The 21,048-nt window shown below is 45.1% G+C and overlaps 1 protein-coding gene and 1 long non-coding RNA gene across 34 annotated transcripts in view, besides 4 other annotated features; one reads left to right on the forward strand and one right to left on the reverse strand.

The window, feature by feature from the left end:
• PCCA-DT (PCCA divergent transcript) lies at window positions 5,758–8,670 on the reverse strand. The gene is made up of 2 exons (NR_132422.1): window positions 8,360–8,670; window positions 5,758–6,454 (listed from the first exon to the last, which is right to left on the reverse strand). It is a non-coding gene; the product is annotated as a PCCA divergent transcript (long non-coding RNA).
• Window positions 8,350–8,399: an enhancer, noted in NCBI's record as "active region_7958". NCBI's record gives its function as "activates an Ori minimal core promoter by ATAC-STARR-seq in GM12878 lymphoblastoid cells {active_cell/tissue: GM12878}" and the evidence as "EXISTENCE:reporter gene assay evidence [ECO:0000049][PMID:35858748]".
• Window positions 8,430–8,689: an enhancer, noted in NCBI's record as "active region_7959". NCBI's record gives its function as "activates an Ori minimal core promoter by ATAC-STARR-seq in GM12878 lymphoblastoid cells {active_cell/tissue: GM12878}" and the evidence as "EXISTENCE:reporter gene assay evidence [ECO:0000049][PMID:35858748]".
• PCCA (propionyl-CoA carboxylase subunit alpha) overlaps window positions 8,820–21,048 on the forward strand; it is a 441,343-nt gene continuing 429,114 nt past the window's right edge. For 30 of the 33 annotated variants that reach the window (NR_148030.2, NR_148027.2, NR_148028.2 and 27 more), the window contains exon 1: window positions 8,820–8,952. Coding sequence is in view for 24 of the 33 variants with exons in the window: in XM_017020613.2 (XP_016876102.1) it covers window positions 8,848–8,952 (105 nt within the window). In the remaining 9 variants the exon portion in view is untranslated. Of the gene's footprint in view, window positions 9,993–21,048 lie in introns of all 33 variants that reach the window. The other 3 variants (XM_017020609.2, XM_047430373.1, XM_017020607.2) reach the window with 1 other exon arrangement.
• Window positions 8,970–9,149: a silencer, noted in NCBI's record as "silent region_5476". NCBI's record gives its function as "represses an Ori minimal core promoter by ATAC-STARR-seq in GM12878 lymphoblastoid cells {active_cell/tissue: GM12878}" and the evidence as "EXISTENCE:reporter gene assay evidence [ECO:0000049][PMID:35858748]".
• Window positions 19,882–20,176: an enhancer, noted in NCBI's record as "tiled region #14306; HepG2 Activating DNase unmatched - State 6:EnhF". NCBI's record gives its function as "activates a minimal TATA promoter and a strong SV40 promoter by Sharpr-MPRA in HepG2 cells {active_cell/tissue: HepG2}" and the evidence as "EXISTENCE:reporter gene assay evidence [ECO:0000049][PMID:27701403]".

Genomic DNA, 21,048 nt, shown 5'->3' on the forward strand with positions numbered 1-21,048 from the left:
ACACAGCTATGCAAAGCTTGCAATTTACATCCCACAGGAGGACCTCTCAGCTTACCCCCATATCCTAGCCTCCCTATAGCTCCCCTTCCTATGAATGATAATCCTCCTCTAATCTCCCCTGCCCAGAAGGAAATAAGCAAAGAAATCTCCAAAGGACCACAAAACCCTCCTGGCTATTGGTTATGTCCCCTTCAAGCTGTAGGGGGAGGGGAATTTGGCCCAACCCGGGTACATGTCCCCTTCTCCCTCTCTGATTTAAAGCAGATCAAGGCCGACCTGGGGAAGTTTTCAGATGATCCTGATAGGTACATAGATGTCCTACAAGGTCTAGGGCAAACCTTCGACCTCGCTTGGAGAGACGTCATGCTACTGTGAGATCAAACCCTGGTCTTTAATGTAAAGAATGCGGCTTTAGCTGCAGCCCAAGAGTTTGGAGATACCTGGTATCTTAGTCAAGTAAATGATAGAATGGCAGCTGAAAAAAGGGACAAATTTCCTACCAGTCAGCAAGCCATCCCCAGTATGGATCCCTACTGGGACCTTAACTTGGATCATGGGGACTGGAGTTGTAAACATCTGTTGACCTATGTTCTAGAAGGACTAAGGAGAATTAGAAAAAAGCCCATGAATTATTCAATGATGTCCACCATAACTCAGGGAAAGGAAGAAAATCCTTCTGCCTTCCTCAAGTGGCTATGAGAGGCCTTAAGAAAATATACTCCCCTGTCACCCGAATCACTTGAGGGTCAATTGATTCTAAAAGTTGTTTATTACCCAATCAGCTGCAGGTATCAGGAGAAAGCTCGAAAAGCAAGCCAGGGCCCTGAACAAAATCTAGAGGCATTATTAAACCTGGCAACCTTGGTGTTCTATAATAGGGACCAAGAGGAACAGGCCCAAAAGGAAAAGCGAGATCAGAGAAAGGCCGCAGCCTTAGTCATGGCCCTCAGACAAACAAACCTTGGTGGTTCAAAGAGGACAGAAAATGGAGCAGGCCAATCACCTGGTAGGGCTTGTTATCAGTGTGGTTTACTAGGACACTTTTAAAAAGATTGTCCAATGAGAAACAAGCTTCCCCCTCGTCTATGTCCACTATGCCGAGGCAATCACTGGAAGGTGCACTGCCCCAGAGGACGAAGATTCCCTGGGTCAGAAGCCCCCAACCAGATGATCCAACAACAGGACTGAGGGTGCCCGGGGCAAGCGCCAGCTCATGTCATCACCCTCACTGAGCCCCGGGTATGTTTAACTATTGAGGTCCAGGAAATTGACTTCCTCCTGGACACTGGCACGGCCTTCTCAGTGTTAATCGCCTGTCCTGGATGACTGTCCTCAAGGTCCATTACCATCCGAGGAATCCTGGGACAGCCTGTAACCAGGTATTTCTCCCACCTCCTCAGTCGTAATTGGAAGACTTTGCTCTTTTCACATGCCTTTCTTGTTGTGCCTGAAAGTCCCACACCCTTATTAGGGAGGGATATATTAGCCAAGGCTGGAGCTATTATCTACATGAATATGGGGAACAAGTTACCCATTTGTTGTCCCCTACTTGAGGAGGGAATCAACCCTGAAGTCTGGGCATTGGAAGGACAATTTGGAGGGGCAAAAAATGCCTGCCCAGTCCAAATCAGGTTAAAAGATCCCACCACTTTTCCTTATCAAAGGCAATATCCCTTAAGGCCTGAAGCTCATAAAGGATTACAGAATATTGTTAAACATTTGAAAGCTCAAGCCTTAGTGAGGAAATGCAGCAGTCCCTGCAACACCCCAATTCTAGGAGTACAAAAACCAAATGGTCAGTGGAGACTAGTGCAAGATCTTAGACTCATTAATGAGGCAGTAATTCCACTATATCCAGTTGTACCCAACCCCTATACCCTGCTCTCTCAAATACCAGAGGAAGCAGAATGCTTCACAGTTCTGGACCTCAAGGATGCCTTCTTCTGTATTCCCCTGCATTCTGATTCCCAGTTCCTCTTTGCCTTTGAGGATCCCACAGACCACACATCCCATCTTACGTGGACGGTCTTGCCCCAAGGGTTTAGGGATAGCCCTCATCGGTTTGGTCAGGCCCTAGCCCAAGATCTAGGCCACTTCTCAAGTCCAGGCACTCTGGTCCTTCAATATGTGGATGATTTACTTTTGGCTACCAGTTCAGAAGCCTCGTGCCAGCAGGCTACTCTAGATCTCTTGAACTTTCTAGCTAATCAAGGGTACAAGGTGTCTAGGTCAAAGGCCCAGCTTTGCCTACAGCAGGTTAAATATCTAGGCCTAATCTTAGCCAAAGGGACCAGGGCCCTCATCAAGGAACGAATACAGCCTATACTGGCTTATCCTTGCCCTAAGACATTAAAACAGTTGCGGGGGTTCCTTGGAATTACCGGCTTTTGCCAACTATGGATCCCCGGATACAGCGAGATAGCCAGGCCCCTCTATACTCTAATCAAGGACACCCAGAGGGCAAATACTCATCTAGTAGAATGGGAATCAGAGGCAGAAACAGCCTTCAAAACCTTAAAGCAGGCCCTAGTACAAGCGCCAGGTTTAAGCCTTCCCACAGGACAAAACTTCTCTTTATATGTCACAGAGAGAGCCGGGATAGCTCTTGGAGTCCTTACTCAGACTCGTGGGACAACCCCACAACCAGTGGCACACCTAAGTAAGGAAACTGATGTAGTAGCAAAAGGCTGGCCTCACTGTTTAAGGGTAGTTGCAGCAGTGGCCGTCTTAGTGTCAGAGGCTATCAAAATAATACAAGGAAAGGATCTCATTGTCTGGACTACTCATGAAGTAAATGGCATACTAGGTGAAAAGGAAGTTTATGGCTATCAGACAAACGCCTATTTAGATACCAGGCGCTCTGCCTTGAGGGACTGGTGCTTCAAATACGCACGTGTGTGGCCTCCAACCCTTCCACTTTTCTCCCAGAAAAGTGGACTTAGAAGTCCCCTTCTAAGTCCTTCTAAGACTTAGAAGTCTCCCAGAAAAGGGGACTGAGAAGTCCCCTTAACTAATCCTGACCTTAACCTATATACCGATGGAAGTTCATTTGTGGAGAATGGGATACGAAGGGCAGGTCACGCCATAGTTAGTGAAGTAACCACACTTGAAAGCAAGCCTCTTCCCCCAGGGACCAGTGCCCAGTTAGCGGAACTAGTGGCACTTACCTGAGCCTTAGAACTGGGAAAGGGATAAAGAATAAATGTGTATACAGATAGCAAGTATGCTCATCTAATCCTACATGCCCATGCTGCAATACGGAAAGAGAGGGAGTTCCTAACCTCTGGGGGAACCCCCATCAAATACCACGAGGAAATTATAGAGTTATTGCACGCAGCGGAAAAACCCAAGGAGGTGGCAGTCTTACACTGACAAAGCCATCAAAATGGGAAGGAGAGGGGAGAACAGCAGCATAAGCGGCTGGCAGAGGTAGGGAAAGACCAGCAAGAATGAAAGAGAGAAAGAAAGTCAGAAAGAGAGACAGAGAGACAGAAACAGAGAGACAAAGAGAAGGAGTCAGAGAGAAAGAGGGACAGACACAGAAAGTCAGAGTCAGAAAGAGAGGAAGAGACAAAGAAGTCAACGAGAAAGAGAGATGGAAGTAGTAAAGAAAAAACAGTGTATCCCATTCCTTTAAAAGCCAGGGTAAAGTTCTTTCTACCCAGACAAGGCATATTCTTCTTATGTGGAACATCGACCTATATCTGCCTCCCCACTAACTGGACAAGCATCTGCACCTTAGTCTAAGTCCCAACATTAACACTGCCCCAGGAAATTAGACCTTATCAGTACCCCTCAAAGCTCAAGTCAGTCAGCGCAGAGCCATACAACTAATACCCCTACTTATAGGGTTAGGAATGGCTACTGCTACAGGAACCAGAATAGCCGGTTTATCTACTTCATTATCCTACTACCACACACTCTCAAAGGATTTCTCAGACATTCTGCAAGAAATAATGAAATCTATTCTTACTTTATAATCCCAAATAGACTCTTTGGCAGCAGTGACTCTCCAAAACCGCCAAGGCCTAGTCCTCCTCACTGCTGAAAAAGGAGGACTCTGCACCTTCTTAGGGGAAGAGTGTTGTTTTTACACTAACCAGTCGGGGATAGTATGAGGTGCCGCCTAGTATTTACAGGAAAAGGCTTCTGAAATCAGATGCCTTTCAAATTCTTATACCAACCTCTGGAGTTGGGCAACATGGCTTCTCCCCTTTCTAGGTCCTGTGGCAGCCATCTTGCTGTTACTCGCCTTTGGGCCCTGTATTTTTAACCTTCCTGTCAAATTTGTTTCCTCTAGAATCGAGGCCATCAAGCTACAGATGGTCTTACAAATGGACCCCCAAATCAGTTCAACTAACAACTTCTACCGAGGACCCCTGGACTGACCCGCTGGCAGTTTCCCTGGCCTAGAGACCTCCCCTCTGGAGGACACTACAACTGCAGGGCCCCATCATCGCCCCTATACAGCAGGAAGTAGCTAGAGCGGTCATTGGCCAAATTCCCAACAGCAGTTGGGGTGTCCTGTTTAGAGGGGGGATTGAGAGGTGACAGCCTGCTGGCAGTCCTCACAGCCCTCGCTCGCTCTCAGCACCTCCTCTGCCTGGGCTCCCACTTTGGCGGCACTTGAGGAGCCCTTCAGCCCACCACTGAAACATCTTCAAATAAGGAAGAGGAACAGGCTATGACCTAATGCTTGCTTGGACTAGTATAAGCATGCCAGGGCAAATATTTATGCTAAATTGTGGGAGCTAGGAACATAAAGTACATTGATTTATTAAAGCTAGCAGATATTTAAGAATGTTAGCACAGGTCTTTGAATAAATTTTGCTTCTAAGAGAAGTTACTATTTATTCCTAATTAGATGGGGAGGAAAGTCTTTGAAGAAGAACCTCTACTTTACCTTCTTTTTTTTTTTTTTGAGACAGAGTCTCCCTCAGTCACCCAGGCTGGGGTGCAGCAGCGCGATCTCGGCTCACTGCAAGCTCCGCCTCCCGGGTTCACGCCATTCTCCTGCCTCAGCCTCCCGAGTAGCTGGGATTACAGGTGCCCGCCATCATGCCTGGCTAATTTTTTTGTATTTTTAGTAGAGATGGGGTTTCACCGTGTTAGCCAGGATGGCCTCGATCTCCTGACCTCGTGATCCGCCCATCTCGGCCTCCCAAAGTGCTGGGATTACAGGCGTGAGCCACTGCGCCCGGACTAATTTTTGTATTTTTAGTAGAGACAGGGTTTCCCCATGTTGGCCAGGCTGGTCTCAAACTCCTGCCCTAAGGTGATCTGCTCACCTGGGACTCTCAAAGTGCTGGGGTGAGAGGTGTGAGCCACCGTGCCTGGCCATTCTTGATATTGTTAATGTATGTTTTTATTCTGAAAAAGGTTTTTTGTTGTTTATTTATTTATTTTTGAGACAGAGTCTCACTCTGTTGCCCAGGCTGGAGTGCACTGGTACAATCTTGGTTCACTGCAACCTCCGCCTCCTGGCTTGAAGATTTTCCTGCCTCAGCTTCCTGAGTAGCTGGGATCACAGGCACGTGCCACCATGTTTGGCTAATTTTCGTATTTTTTGTAGAGCTGGGGTTTCACCATGTCGGCCAGGCTGGTCTCAAACTCCTGACATCAGGTGATCTGCCCACCTCGGCCTTATAAACTGCTGTGATTATAGGCATAAGCTACTGTGTCTGGCCTAATTGTCCTCTACTAATACTGTATTAGGCTGGGAAGACTAACTGCTCTAGCAATCCTCAAATCTCAATGGTGTAAGAAAATAAAAACTTTATTTTTTGCTCATGTCACAGTTCGGTGCAGGATAGTGAGAAGGATCTGCTCTCCTTTGCTACTGGAGACCCAGGCTGCTTCTGTGTAGTGCCTAGAAAAGTCTCAGCAGCTGAGAGGTGAAAAGGTGTGGAGGATTGCATGGAAGGTTTTATAAGCCAAGCCCAGGGGCTGTTGAATTTCATGTCCTCTCATATTTTATTGGCCAGAAATCAGGTATAGTACCACATCGAACTGGAAAGGAGGCCAGGATATGCTGCCCAATAGGATGCTCCGAGCAGTGCACTCAGAAGAATGAACAGGTTTGGAGACAGTCCAAGTCTGCTGTGTCCTCAACTTCCTTGGGGGTATTTTCCTTACAATCTATAACTTTTTTTTTTTTTTTTTTGAGATGGAGTCTTGGTCTGTCGCCCAGGCTGGAGTGCAATGGTGCAGTCTCAGCTCACTGAAACCTCTGCCTCCCGGGTTCAAGTGATTCTCCTGCCTCAGCCTACCGAGTAGCTGGGATTACAGGGGCCTACCACCATGCCTGGCTAATGTTTGTATTTTTAGTAGAGATGGGGCTTCACCATGTTGGCCATGCTGGTCTCGAAGTGCTGACCTCGTGATCTGTCCGCCTCGGCCTCCCAAAGTGCTGGGATTATAGGCGTGAGCCACTGCTCCCGGCCACAATCTACAACTTCAAATGGAAAAGGCAAAGATAAATATTAGTCCTCTATCAGTAAGGACACACATGTAGCTGCTGTAACAAAGGCAAAACAAAAAAACACAATGCAATAACTTAAACAAGATACAGTATTTTTCTTGCTTGCATAAAAATCTGAACAAAGCACTCCAGGGTTGACGTGGCGGCTCCACAGAATCAGGCACTAAAGGCTCCTGGTATATTGTTTTGTCTCCCCGATCACCTAACTTCCTTCTTATCATCTGAGATGACAACTTTACCTCCACTGTAGTGTCCACATTCTGGCAAACTGGAAAGAGGAGAAGGGCAAGTGGAAAGCAAGCCTTTCCCTTTAAAGGTATAACCCAAAAGTTGTCTATGTCACTTGTGCTTATGTCCCATTGGCCAAAACTTAGTAACCAAATCTTGGTAAGCACCCTTGCTGCAGTGGGAGTTGGGAAATGTAGATCTTTGTTTAGGTAAGAAAGAAGAGGGCATGGAGGGCACAGTCCTTACATTCCAGACCTTAGTCATGGCGCTACACCTCGTTGTAAGGGAGGCTAGCTATTGCAGCCTTTCGCTGGGTGGCCATGTACCCAGCTAGATCTCAGGGGCACTCTTACTAAAGTAATGCATGGAGAATGGATAGCATGAGAAGCAGTTTCTGCTACAAGTGCCTTTCATAAAAAGAACTCCTATAAGAAAAACAAACAGGGCCTAAGGAAAACTAATCCAAAGGGTAAAACATGGGGAAAAGACAAAAAACAAAAGAAAAAAGAAAAGCAAGTTTCCCAGGTAGAAAATGAATGAAGACTGAGGTACATAAGTGAGAAGTCCTGTAAAATTGATAATCCTTTTCATTTTGTCACAAAAGTCCCTACTTACATTCTAAAATTCCATTAAATGTCACCTTTCTGATATCCCCATTTTATTTCTCTCTCTTTGGGCATTTACCATGCTGTAGTGTACTCTAGGCCATTCCTAGCTTTGTAACTCTCTCAAGGTGACTCTGCAGGAGATGCAAAGTAGTTAAGAGGAGAACCCCCAATACTGATGTGTTTATAGGTGAGGTGGTCTGATGTCTTAGATTTGCTTTAAAATATTCCTGCACAAAATAAAAAGGGGAATAGATGAAACAAGATTGACAAAATGTTGATTCATTGACGCGGTGTAATGGGTATCTGGGTGATCATAGTACAATTTTATCTCTTTTGTATATATTTTAAAATTTCCATAATATAGCAAAACATGAGCCCAGTCCCTCAAGGCAGCCAGATTTGGGTTCAAACCCTAGTTTGACCTTTTACTCGCTGAGTGACTTTACCCTGCTACAGCTTCAGTTTCTCCAAATGGAAATAATATATACTCCATTAAGGTTCTTGTAAACTCTCAAGTAAGAGGGAATCTGAGGCTCTAGCACACGGCCCGGCCCTTAATAGTTGTACTAATTTTTATTTTATTTTTCGAAACGGAGTTTGCTCTGTCACCCAGGCTGGAGTGTAGTGGCATGATCCGGCTCACTGCAACCTCCACCTCCAGGGTTCAAGCAATTCTCCTGCCTCAGCCTCCTCCCGAGTAACTGGGATTACAGGAGTGCGCCACCACGCCCAGCTAATTTTTGTATTTTTTAGTAGAGACGGGGTTTCGGCATGTTGTCCAGGCTGGTCTCCAACTCCTGACCTCAGGTTATCCTCCCGCCTCGGCCTCCCAGAGTGCTGGGATTACAGGCGTGAGCCACTGCGCCTGGCCAGTAGTTGTACTAACAAGGGTTTCTGCTTGCGAGCAACAAAGACTGACTCTAGTTGTGGCTAATTTCTTTCACACACACATATTAAGTGCCAGAGGTAGGACTTGAGCTCGGATCTCTGATTTCCAGACCTAGAACTTTTTATGTGTTATTACAGTCGTTAAAAACCTTACCTGGATTTGTGCTTTGCAATTTACGCTTTCGAACATGCAGGAATGTAGTTTGGGCATTTGTCTGGAACTTCGGATTCTCGGGACTCCAGGGTGGCCAAGGCGCGGAGGTGACTCAATGACATTGACCGGCCTGGATGCACGTGGGTTGCTGAGCCGATGCTGGGAAGGTACGGGGTTTGCCCGGTGCAGGCCGCCGGAACTCACGCACGCCCCTGTCTCTCTCACTCCTGGGGTCGGCTCTGGCCGGTGGCCTCCAGCTCAGCTAGCGGCCGGACGCGCAGCCCGCCGACTAGCCCTCCAGGTCCTAGCGCGACTCCCGGATCCCGGATCCGGCGGATCTGGCCGACCACTCACCCTCCCCTTTCCGCAAGTTAGGGGGCGGGGCATCGGGTTTCTGGCTCGTGATTTGCCGGAGCTCCTGCGCTCCCCTTCTCCACCCCCTCCGGCTGTGTGAGAGGTCAGCAGAGGGGCGGTCTGCGGGGACAACAATGGCGGGGTTCTGGGTCGGGACAGCACCGCTGGTCGCTGCCGGACGGCGTGGGCGGTGGCCGCCGCAGCAGCTGATGCTGAGCGCGGCGCTGCGGACCCTGAAGGTGAGGAGCAACGGGGCCTCGCGGGTCCGGGCTTCACTGGGCTTCTAGCCGTGCCGCCTCTGGGCGGCTGGCGCCGGGAGAGCGCTGGCTGGGTCCGGCTGCCCCCGCGCCCCGGTTCCGCATCAGCTACACCGCTTGCTTTCCTCCCTCCCGGAGTTCGCGTGGCAGCGGGCTCAGGAGGCATCCCTCGTTGCAGCTGTTCCTCGCGGGGATCCTGCGGAGCAGAGAGGCCTAGGGCAGAGGCAGTTGGGTGCCCGCACGCCCTCCGAGGCGGCTGATGGCTTTGGGCAGGCATATTGCTCGAGGTCTGCTTCCAGGGCCCCGCGGCATTGGCTTTGTCTTAAGCTTTCCAGGGTGTCTTTTTAGGTGTCCTTATAGTTTCCGTGTTCTGTTGCCTCTTTCCAGCATTTTTGAAGGGACACTGTGAACTGTTGCTTAAGTAGTGTTAGGGTTGTGAGTTTGTCTTATCTTTTAAAGTATTATACCATGTCAGGACTGCCAATAGATTTTACGTTTCATTTGAAAGCCTGTTTTAATTGTATGACACCCCAGTCTACTGTGTACCAAATGCATCCCGTGAACTTACTTTCCTTTTCGGTATAGTGGTGAGCCTGATTTTGGCACTGTTCTAAACACATTTCATGACTGTTCTGTATACCTAGGCTGTCATGATGGCAGATTGACAAACAGGTTGGAGTGCTTGTGTGTGCTTCTGAGCTCTGTCTCCAGTCAATGTCGAGTCTGTCGTTAATTCTGGGGCACAGACCACCTAACCTACTTTATAAGGTTTGTTGAGGCACTTGAACACATTCTTTAAAATGAAGGTCCCCTGAAAACCATCTGTCAGCTGGTTCAGTGTGCTTGTTAAACTTCCTTTTAAAAAATAATTATTAAAACATTGCCACATAACTTGATTTATAGTCATTTAATTTTAGACGTTGAAGACACTTTAGAGACGACCTGCCCCATCCTACTCTTTAAAGAGGAGGGAACCGAGCCCCAGGTGGGCAGTATGAGAGCTGGAGCTTATCGACATGGAAGTGAGTGGCACCTATGTTTGTTTTGTGTCCAATTCAGCGTGCGGACTTTCACTGTTTTCTGTGTTCCCATACAGTTTAGTGTTCTTTAATCTTTATCATTCTGTTCATCTGTGTTGGCCACTTCAATTGCAGCTGTAAGACTTATGCATTTACATAGGAGGCAAGTTAGTATGGTGTAAAGTGTGGGCTTTGGGGTCAGGCGCATGAGGCTTTGTATATTGGACAGGTCTCTTCCTTGGGCGTCAGCTTCGTCCTTGTAGCTATTTTTTTCAACAAATATTTACTGAATATCTCCTGTCTTCCACTTCTGGGGAATGAATATGGTTTCTGCTTTCTTAGAAATTTTACTCTAGTAGGGAGACTGTAACAAGTGTAAAATGGTATTAGGGGAGATGCCCGGGTGCTATAAGAAAATAAAATAGAGGGATTTGACCAAGCCAAGATTTTGAATTCTGTGTTCTAGATACTGTTCTGTTGCTTTGCTTGAACTAATTTATTCAATCTCACAACAGTCGTATGTCCCCCATTTACAGAAGATGAAAGTGAGGCACTGAGTGTTAATGTGACTTGCTCGAAGCTATAGTGCCAATAAGTGGCAAACAGGATTTAGAACTCCAGAACCTGTGCTCTTAATCATACTATGCTATCTACGGTAAGGGAGTGTTTTCCTTTGGAACTGAAAATTGAGACAAGTTTTGAAGGATGAAGTGACCTTTTCTAACAAACAGAGATGAATGTTATAGGTGAGAGAGCAGTGTATGCAAAGGTCCTGTGGCCAGAGGGAATGACAGGTTAGAAGAACTGAAAAAAGCCTACAGAGGCTCTGATGCAGAGAGTAGATGGTGTTGGGGAAGCTGGCAGGAGTCAGACCATCTGGCTCTTATAGATCACATTATGAGGTTTGGTGTTTGTCTTAGAGCAGTGGGAAGACATTGATGTTGGAGGTGGGAGGGATGACACTGACATTTTAGATTGGAGAGGCTGAGAGGAAGGCTGTTACTGTACTTACTGTTGTACACTTGTTATACACTTACTGTGTAATACATACGCTTTGATGATTCTTACCTGGTTTTTTCCTTTTAATGTGTTGGCAGAGACTGCATCTTGTCTATTTCTGTGTTCTTAGTACAATGTTTGACACAATAGGTGCTGAATGTGTAACAATAGAGTAGCATTATGTTTGTGCCGGTAAAGAATTCCTCCTTGGGGTGGGAAGCATCTCTGAAGTTCACTATCACTCTAGGGGAACTTGAGCTGCTGCTTAGCTTCTCTCTGCGCTTCTCTTCTATGAACTTGAAATATGCTCTACTGAGTCTGTTTGAAGCTGAATCTTTTGAAGATTTTAACCCCTCCCATCCCTCCCTCCACCTCTGCAAACCTTTTGGTTGGTTGAAAAGCAGCCAGCTAACTCTAGGGTCTAGTCTAGAGAATTCTGACCATTCTTTTAGCCAGTCAACAGAGTTTATTTATTTTTAGGGTATATGTAGAGTTCACCTTTTAGTCTTATTTGTTTTGTGTATCAGCTTTTTAAGCACATTCTGTTTTAATGCCTAGTTTTTTCTTCTGCGTAAATGTTTTCAGTGGCTCTAGGATGTTGGTTTTATGGTAATTGCTATAGTTATTATTGAACTCTTATATGCCTTGCATGATTTTTCTTTGCTTTTCTTTTTTTTTGAGATGGGGTCTCGCTCTGTTGCCAGGCTGGAGTGCAGTGGCGCGATCTCAGCTCACTGTAACCTCCACCTCCTGGGTTCAAGTGATTCCCTTGCCTCAGCCTCCCAAGTGGCTGGGACTACAGGCGCACGCCACCACCACCGGCTAATTTTTTTTTGTATTTTAGTAGAGATGGGGTTTCACCATGTTGGCCACCTCGATCTTCTGACCTCTTGATCCACTGCCTTGGCCTCCCAAAGTGCTTGGAATTACAGGCATGAGCCACCGAGCCCAATGGTGTGATTTTTCATATATCTTTTATCCTTATAACAACTAGGTAAAAAATCCCAATTTTACAGTAGAGGAAACAAAGCTCAGGGCAGTTAAGTAGTTGCTTAAAAGCACAATTGGCTGAAGTAGAATTTGAACCTTAGATAATATGATTCTGAAGGCTTTCTTTTCTTTCTTCCTTTTTTTTTTTTGAGATGGGGTCTGGCTCTGTTGGCCAGGCTGGAGTGCAGTGGCATGATCTTGGCCTACTGCAGCCTCTGCCTCCTGGGCTCAAGCCATCCTCCCATCTCAGCCTCCCAAGTAGGTGGGACCACAGGCACGTACGACCACACCTGGCTATTTTTTAATTTTAATTTTTATTTTTTGTAGAGATGGGGTTTTGCTATGTTGCCCAGGCTGGTCTCAAACTCCTGAACTCAAGCAATCCACCCACCTCAGCTTGCTTTTCTAATTACAAATTGTCTCATTTGAATCATGGTCTCATTGTGTGATGCATTCATGAAATTTGAATGTTTAAGCCCTGTGTTACTTGACATCCATTATTTTCTTTTGTAATCAGTAAATATGGAAAAGAATGTTTAGGCTTATATGAATGCTTTAGAATTGCCTGGAGGTTAATGTTTCCAACATGCTGATAAATTTCTGACAAATCATTTGGGAAAAGAAATTTCTGAGATTATTACAGAAACTAGTTTCTGGTGTAAAAAAATGTTTATAGACATTTATATATTTATACATCTACCATTTGGATTTTATTCTGTTCCTGAGAGGTTCAGAACAGAGGTAAAAACTGCTCTAGTCCTTTTCTAAGAGGAAAAGATGTGACATTTTTGATGAAGAGTGAGGGAAAAGGATTTGTTTAAATGATTCCAAACTTTAAAAAATGTAGGTGGGAGAACAAGGATGAAAAAGGAATTTGGGAAGAAACACTTTTTTGGTGGGGCTGGAAACATAGTGTTTCATTGTAGGTATCTGGAGTTAGATGCCCGCAGGAGCCATGCTGAGGTGCTGGGTATCAGTGGCTGGCTTTTGGGCCAGGGATACGAGGCTAGAGTTAGAGTTAGAACTGTGAGCCCTGACGGATATAGTGAGTCAGTTAATATTTAATTGAATAAATGCTTCGTTTTATAACCCTAAATTAGGATTTGGAAGAAGGAAGAAGAGACAAGAGGAGTTAGAGGTATGGTTTGAGAGGAGCCAATGTAGTGTAGTGTTACCAAACCTAGGAAAGAAATTTCAAGAAGTAGTTAGCATTCATTCATTCATTTGTCTAGAGATCTAGCTCTTTACTCAGAAAGTGTTTGTGGAGCATTTTCTAAGTTCCAGGTACTATGGCACGTACAGAGGAGAGAAAAAGAAATTAAAACATATTCCCTAACTATGTCCCAGGTGCAGAGAGGCTAAGGAATAAAAGATTGATGAGGCCAGGTGTGGTAGCTCACGCCTGCAATCTCAACCCTTTGGGAGGCCAAAGTGGGAGGATTTCTTGAGCTCAGGAGTTTGAGACCAGCCTAGGCAACATAATGATACCACCCCCACCCCCGGCTATCTCTACAAAATAAAATAAAATAAAATAAAAATTAGCTGGGTGTGGTGGCACGTGCCTGTGGTTCTAGGTACTTGGGAGGCTGAGGAGGGAGGATCACTTGAGCCCAGGAGGTCAAGGCTGCAGTGAGCTGTGATCACACCAATGTACTACAGCCTGGGTGACACAGCAAGACCCTGTCTCAAAAAAAAGTCTGGGCACGATGGCTCATGCCTGTAATCCCAGCACTTTGGGAGGCCGAGGCAGGCAGATCACCTGAGGTCGGGAGTTCAAGACCAGCCTGACCAACATGGAGAAATCCCGTCTCTACTAAAAATACAAAATTAGCCGGGCATGGTGGCGCATGCCTGTAATCTCAGCTACTTGGGAGGCTGAGGCAGGAGAATCACTTGAACCCAGGAGGTGGAGGTTGCAGTGAGCCGAGATTGCACCACTGCACTCCAGCCTGGGCAACAAGAGCGAAAATCTGTCTCAAAAAAAAAAAAAAAAAAAAAAGATTGGTGAAAGAATTTGAAAAGATCTTTGATCTTTAATGAGAATAATTTTAGTAGCATGGTAAAGTGTTATATACAAAAAATACTGCTTTTGACAACACTCTTGAATAGTTGAAGCAAAATTATATTTTTTGAAAGATAAGCATATTGCATAACTTTCAAAAATTAGTTTCTTTATTTTAAATGCCTATTGACATTTTCGTTAGAAAAAACCCCACAAACTGATGGGATCAACCTAATAAGATCAAAATAAAAGTGAATTTAAAGAATGTTGGAAGATACAGTTTTGTGATTTCATTCACAAAACCTAATACAGCATCCATGTGGCATACTCTCTTTGGTATTGTTTGTTTGTTTTTGAGATAGAGTCTCATGTTGTCCAGGCTGGAGTTCAGTGGTGTGATCTCCGCTCACGGCAACCTCCGCCTCCGGGGTTCAAGTGATTCTCCTGCCTCAGCCTCCTGAGTAGCTGGGATTACAGGCATGTGCCACCATGCCCAGCTAATTTTTATATTTTTAGTAGAGACGGGGTTTCACCATGTCGGCCTGGCTGGTCTTGAACTCTTGACCTCAATTGATCCGCCTGCCTCGGCCTCCCAAAGTGCTGGGATTACAGATGTGAGCCACCGTGCCTGCCCTCTCTTTGGTATTATTTATTCAAGAAACCTTTGGTTTCCTAGAGCTGCTGTACAAATGACCATGGACCTGGTGGCTTAAAACAACAAATTCATTCTCCCACAGTACTAAAGGCCTGAAGTCTGAAATCAAGGCATGAGCAGGGCCATGCTTCGCCTGAAGGCTCTAGGGGAGAATCCTTTCTTGCCTCTTTGAGCTTCTGGTGGCTGCATTCATTCCTTGGCTTGTGGCTGCATCACTCCAGTCTCTGCCTCTGTCTTCACATGGCTGCCTTCTCCTCCTCCTTCTTGTGCGTCTTTCCCTCTCATTCTTTTATAAAGACACTTTTCATTGGATTTAGGGCCATGACAAGATCTAGGATGATTTCATCTCAAGATCCTTCACTTTGTTGTATTGGCAAAGACACTTTATCACAGGTTCCAGGACGTGGACACATCATTTTAGGGGCTATCGTTCAATTCACCTACACGTAGTATGTGTCAGACACTACTTAGAGCTGGGAATATAATTGTGACTGTTTCTGCTCCCATTGTGGTTACATTTGAGTAAGGAGACTGTGCTCGTATAAATAGAAAAGTTCAGAGAGTGAGAAGTGCTCTCGAAGGAAAAAGATAGGTTAATGGGATAGAGAGTGGTAGTGGTGCTGAGTTGGGGATGTTACCTAATGAGACCATGGGGGACATTTCTGAGCATGTGGCATTTGGACAGGAAACTGAGCCAGCCAGCCATGTGACTATATGGGGGCCTAGCATTGCAGACCAAGGAGTGCCAGGGCAAAAGCTCTGAGGGGAGATTGCATTTGGCATAATTAAGGGATGAATGTGGCTGCTGTGGTTGGAGTGAACTGAATGAGGGGGTGATCTTAGGAGATGAGGGAGGAGGAGTGGGTAGGCGGGACAGAGTCATCAGGGGCTTGTATTTGGAATTTAGTAATGAGAGTCCAGTTGGAGGCATTTAAGCACATTGAATTTATGTTTGGAAAAGACGTTTGTGACTAGTACGTAGCGAATGTCTTAGTAGGGGTGGGAGTAGGATTGGGGACTGGGGTGGGAAGAGTGGAAACAGAGAGACCCATCAGGAAGCTGTTGTAGAAGACCAAGCTAGAGATGATGGTAACTTGTGCTAGGGCACTGGAGTTGCTGAGAACTGGTCAGACTTGGAATGTATTTTGGAGCTAGAGCCAGTATCTTGCTGTGGGGTTTGAAGGCAGATACAGATGTACCTCATATCTTGGCTTTATTGACCCTGCAGATACTGCTTTTTTTTTGTTGTTTTTACAGATTGAGGGTTTGTGGCAACCCTGCTTTGAGCAACTGTATTGGTGTCATCTTTCCAATAGCACATACTTACTTGGTGTCTCTGTGAAACATTTTGATAATTTTTTCATTATTACTATGTCTGTTATGGTGATCTGTGATCAGTGATCTTCGATATTCTTATTGTAAATATTTTGGGGTGCCGTGAACCACGCCCATATAAGTTGGAGAAACATAATTGATAAATGTGTGAGTTTTGACTTCTCCAAGCAGTTATTCCCCTATGTCTCTCCCTCTCCTCAGGCTTCCCTAATTCTCTGAGATACAACAATATTGAAATTAGGCCAATTAATAATCTTCTAAGCGTTCTAGTGAAAGGAAGAGTCACACATCTCTCACTTTGAATCAAAAACTAGAAATCATTAAGCTTAGTGAGGAAGGCCTGTCAAAAGCCAAGATAGACTGAAAGTTGGGCCTCTTGTGCCAAATTGTAAATGCAAAGGAAAAGTTCTGGAAGGAAATTAGAAGTGCTACTCCAGTGAGCGCACAACTGATTAAAAAAAGTGAAACAGCTTTATTGCTGATATGGCGAAAGCTTTAGTGGTTTGGATAGAAGATCAAACCAGCCACAACATTTCCTTAAGCCATAGCCTAATCCAGCGCAAGGTCCTCGCTTCAGTTCTGCGAAGGCTGAGAGAGGTGAGGATGCTGCAGAAGAAAACTTGGAAGCAGAGGTTGGTTCATGGGGTTTAAGAAAAGAAGTGAGGCCGGGCGCAGTGGTTCACACCTGTAATCCCAGTACTTTGGGAGGCCGAGGCGAGTGGATCACAAGGTCAAGAGATTGAGACCATTCTGGCTAACATGGTGAAGGATCAGATGATTGTTAGCATTTTTGAGCAATAACTGTTTTGAACAATAATTAATTGGACCTGAACCTACAGTATCTGTAAGGTATGTACAAACAGGGAAAGGAAGGAATTAAGAGTGACTTTTGAAGGGTAGACACACAAGGTCGCTATTGTGTGATTTTGTGTTTATATGCAGTCTCCAGAATAGACTGATCCATGAAGACAGAAAGTAGATTAGTGGTTGCCCAGGGCCTGGAGGAGAGGGGATGGGAGTGACTGCGAATAGTTAAGGGTTGTCTTTTTGGGGTGATAAAAAATGTCCTGGAATCAGTAGCCATCATGGTTCCATGCCTTGTGGATATACTAAAAACCACGGAGTTGTATACTTTTTTAAAAGGGTGAATTTTATGGTATGTGAATTACATCTCAATTAAAAAATAAAAGAATGGTCCGGGTGCAGTGGCTCACACCTGTAATCCCAGCACTTTGGGAGGCCGAGGCAGGTGGATCACCTGAGGTCGGGAGTTCGAGACCAGCCTGACCAACATGAAGAAACCCCATCTCTACTAAAAATACAAAATTAGCCAGGCATGGTGGCACATGCCTGTAATCCCAGCTACTCGGGAGGCTGAGACGGGAGAATTGCTTGAACCTGGGAGGCAGAGGTTGCAGTGAGCCAAGATGGCACCACTGCACTCCAGCCTGGCGACAGAGTGAGACTCCGTCTCAAAAAACAAACAAACACAAATCTTCGAATACTTATGTTAACAAAGTAAAGCAAAGAGGCCAAGGTGGGAGGATCACTTGAGGCCAGCAGTTCAAGACCAGCCTGGGGAAAATAGTGAGAACCCCCCAGCCGCCCAGTCTCTACAAAAAATAAAAAAATTAGTGGGGCATGGTGACATGCATCCATAGTCCCAGCTATTCAGGAGGCTGAGGTGGGAGGATTGCTTGAATGCAGGAGTTCAAGGCTGCAGTGAGCTATGATCCTATCACTACACTTCAGTCTGGGCAACATAGTGAGATCCTGTCTCAAAAAAAAAAAGTACAATGAAGCTAGGTGTGGTGGCAGGGATGTGTAGTCTCAGCTACTTAGGAGGCTGAGGTGGGAAGATCATTTAAGCCTAGGAGTTAGAGGCTGCCATGGGCTATAATTGTGCCTGTGAGTAGTCACTGCAGTCCAGCCTGGGCAAACATAGTGAGACCCCCATCTCTTAAAAAAACAAAAAAAGTAAAATAAGGTGAAATTAATATATTTTACTTAATATATTCAAATATTCAAAGTATTATTTGAATATGTAAATGTAAAAATTCACTAATGAGGTCTTTTACATTTTCTGGGTACTAAGTTTTCAAAATCCAGTGTGTAGTTTACTCTTAGAGCACATCTGAATGTGGCTCGTGGCTGCCATATTGGATGGAACAGCTCTAGGGCACAGATTGTGCTACTAATCAAGTCCCACCTTGAGGTGCTGGGACTGGCCTTTTGAATGCAGTGTTAGTCAGCCCTTGGCCAGGCAGGGTCGGGGGAGCTCTCAGGCTTGATGGAGAGCTGTATAGTTGAGGAACATGGTCGAGATGAGGGTGCAGGTGTGAGCCGTTAGTTGTCAACACAGCAGTTAGAGAGGATCTGAGTGGCCACTGACAACATCTGCTACAGCGGGATGGGGAAGAATGGCCTGGCGGAAGAGTCAAGGGTGGGATGATGGAGCTCTAGAGTTGACATGTATAGTTTCCTGGTGCTTGAGCTTAGTACAGAGGCAGAGCCCAGAGAATCTTGAGTCTTGAACATCTCTCTCAAATATTAGGTGTTCAACTTGGCTTTTGGCAGACACTGAAGATTGGAATGGTCTCTAAGATCCTGAAGACTAAATAGTCTATTTGAAAGAAAAGCTGTGCTTCCAGGAAAAAGCCAGACCTAATTAAGTGTCTTCAGAGAAGGGCATGGGCTCTGTTACAATGCATGATGAAATACCGTGTCATAATACATGGATAAGACCTTCACCTGGAATTTTAGAGATGAAGCAAGATGAAGTAAACTAATGTTTACTTTGACCTTGGTGAGATCATTTTATAGCTCCATTAACCCAGTTTTGAGGATAGTTTCTTCTTTGAAGCAGAATGCATTCTGATAATGAATTTATCTCATAATGAGTTATTTAGTATTATTCATCTGAATGCTACTGCGGGTATGTTAACAACAGTAGTTTTGGTTTTGGCAGAAATAGTGTTCAGATTGTTCTTTAAGATATTTGCCAGTGGATTTACCAGTTTTAACTGCCACGTGAGGCCACATCTTGCTTATGAAAGTAGGTGCTATCTAATCTTTTTTTTTTTTTTTTTTTTGAGATGGAGTCTTGCTCTGTCACCCAGACTGGAGTGCAGTGGCGTGATCTCGGCTCACTACAACCTCTGCCTCCCGGGTTCACGCCATTCTCCCGCCTCAGTCTCCCGAGTAGCTGGGACTACAGGCGCCTGCCACCACACCCGGCTAATTTTTTGTATTTTTCGTAGAGACAGGGTTTCACTGTGTTAGCCAGGATGGTCTCAATCTCCTGACCTTGTGATCCACCTGCCTCGGCCTCTCAAAGTGCTGGGATTACAGGCGTGAGCCACTGTGCCCAGCTGGTGCTATCTAATCTTAAGAAAGGATTTTTTTCCAGCCACTGCAAACAGGATTTGTTTCCCTGTTTGCAGTGGCTGGAAGGCATGCATCCAGTTTGTCTAAAAGCCTACCATTTCCCCCGCTTTTTGTGTAAGTTATTGTGTGCTGATGATAATATATGCAAGACTGTGCTAGCCATGTTAGACATTCTCATTTAATCCTCATAGCAGCATTATGACCTAGATAAGTACTATTATTATCCCCAGTGTACAAATGAAGAAACTTTCTATATATCTAGGAAATGTCAGAGCCAAGATTTGAATCCAGGTCAGAATCTGAGTCTAGACCAGAACTCTTATTGACTATATTATTCTCTAATGGTAATTCCCAAGTGGTTCTGGTATAATTTTAAGAAAGAAGGTGACAGTTACATATTTGGATTTAGTTTTCATGTAAAACCTTACATTTTTTGGCACTTTACTGTTTATAAAAACTCATTTGATCCTTTTAATAACTCCCTAGGAAATCAGGGAGGTGTCATCACCTACATTTTGTAGATGGAAACGGGGGCCCAGAGAAATGATTAGCTCAATGACTCACAGCTGAGAGTTGACCCAAGTCTTGTGACTCTGAGGGTCAATGCCACTTCCTATGTGCCAAGCCATTTTCAGGCATTTCTTTTCTATGTGTGGAAAATACAGGAAATCATTATTCCTGTGGGAGAGAACCAGTGGCAATATGTTACTGGGGAGTCATTTTGCACACGCTGACCTCTCTCATTTTGGCTGTGATTGGCTAGCCTTTATAAACAGAATTGATTAAAGTTCTTTCTCAGAACCTTTGTTGCTAGGAAATACCTTACAAAGAATTTTGGACTGGGCGTGTAGCCAGTTTGTTACATGCTTAACAAAAACAACAAACGTTAAAATTCTGTGTAGAGGTCCAAATTAGCAGACTTCTTCAAACGTTTTCCTTCATTTAGAAAATAAACTTTATGTTGTGGCTTTACACAAATGGTCTGAGTGTTGACCTGATTCTTCATTTTTGACCTTCCATGAATGTCTCCCAGGAGGAAACAGGAACAGAGCCTTTATGGGGCTCATTCCAAACCAGTTCAGACTTGTCGTGGGAATGGTTCACATTGGTAGTTGTTCTGTTATAGTTGTGTTTGCTTGTACGAGTTCTACTTCTTCTTTTTTTTTTTTTTGTTGAGACAGTGTTTCGCTCTTTTTGCCCAGGCTGGAGTGCAACGGTACAAACTTGGCTCACTGCAACCTCGGCTCACTGCAACCTCCGCCTCCCGGGTTCAAGCGATTCTCCTGCCTCAGCCATCCGAGTAGCTGGGATTACGGGCATGCACCACCATGCCCAGCTAATTTTGTATTTTTAGTAGAGATGGGGTTTCTCCATGTTGGTCAGGCTGGTCTCGAACTCCCAACCTCAAGTGATCTGCCCGCCTCAGCCTCCCAAAGTGTTGGGATTACAGGCATGAGCCACCGTGCCCGGCCCGAGTTCTACTTCTAGTTACTGGGTAACCGGGAGGCATCTATGCTTTTTACAGCTTTAGGCCACATTATTACAAGTTCACATGTGTGCAAGCTCTGTGGAACAATATCATATCTTTGAGTAGATATTAGTGTTTATCTGGGAATTGCCACTGTTTTTCTTATCTAGAAATAAAAAATTTCAGAAAGCTCTTGACCAATCTGTGGTTAAATCTTATAACC

The sequence above is a fragment of the Homo sapiens genome, chromosome 13, assembly GCF_000001405.40.
Source record: "Homo sapiens chromosome 13, GRCh38.p14 Primary Assembly".
Lineage (NCBI taxonomy): Eukaryota > Metazoa > Chordata > Mammalia > Primates > Hominidae > Homo > Homo sapiens.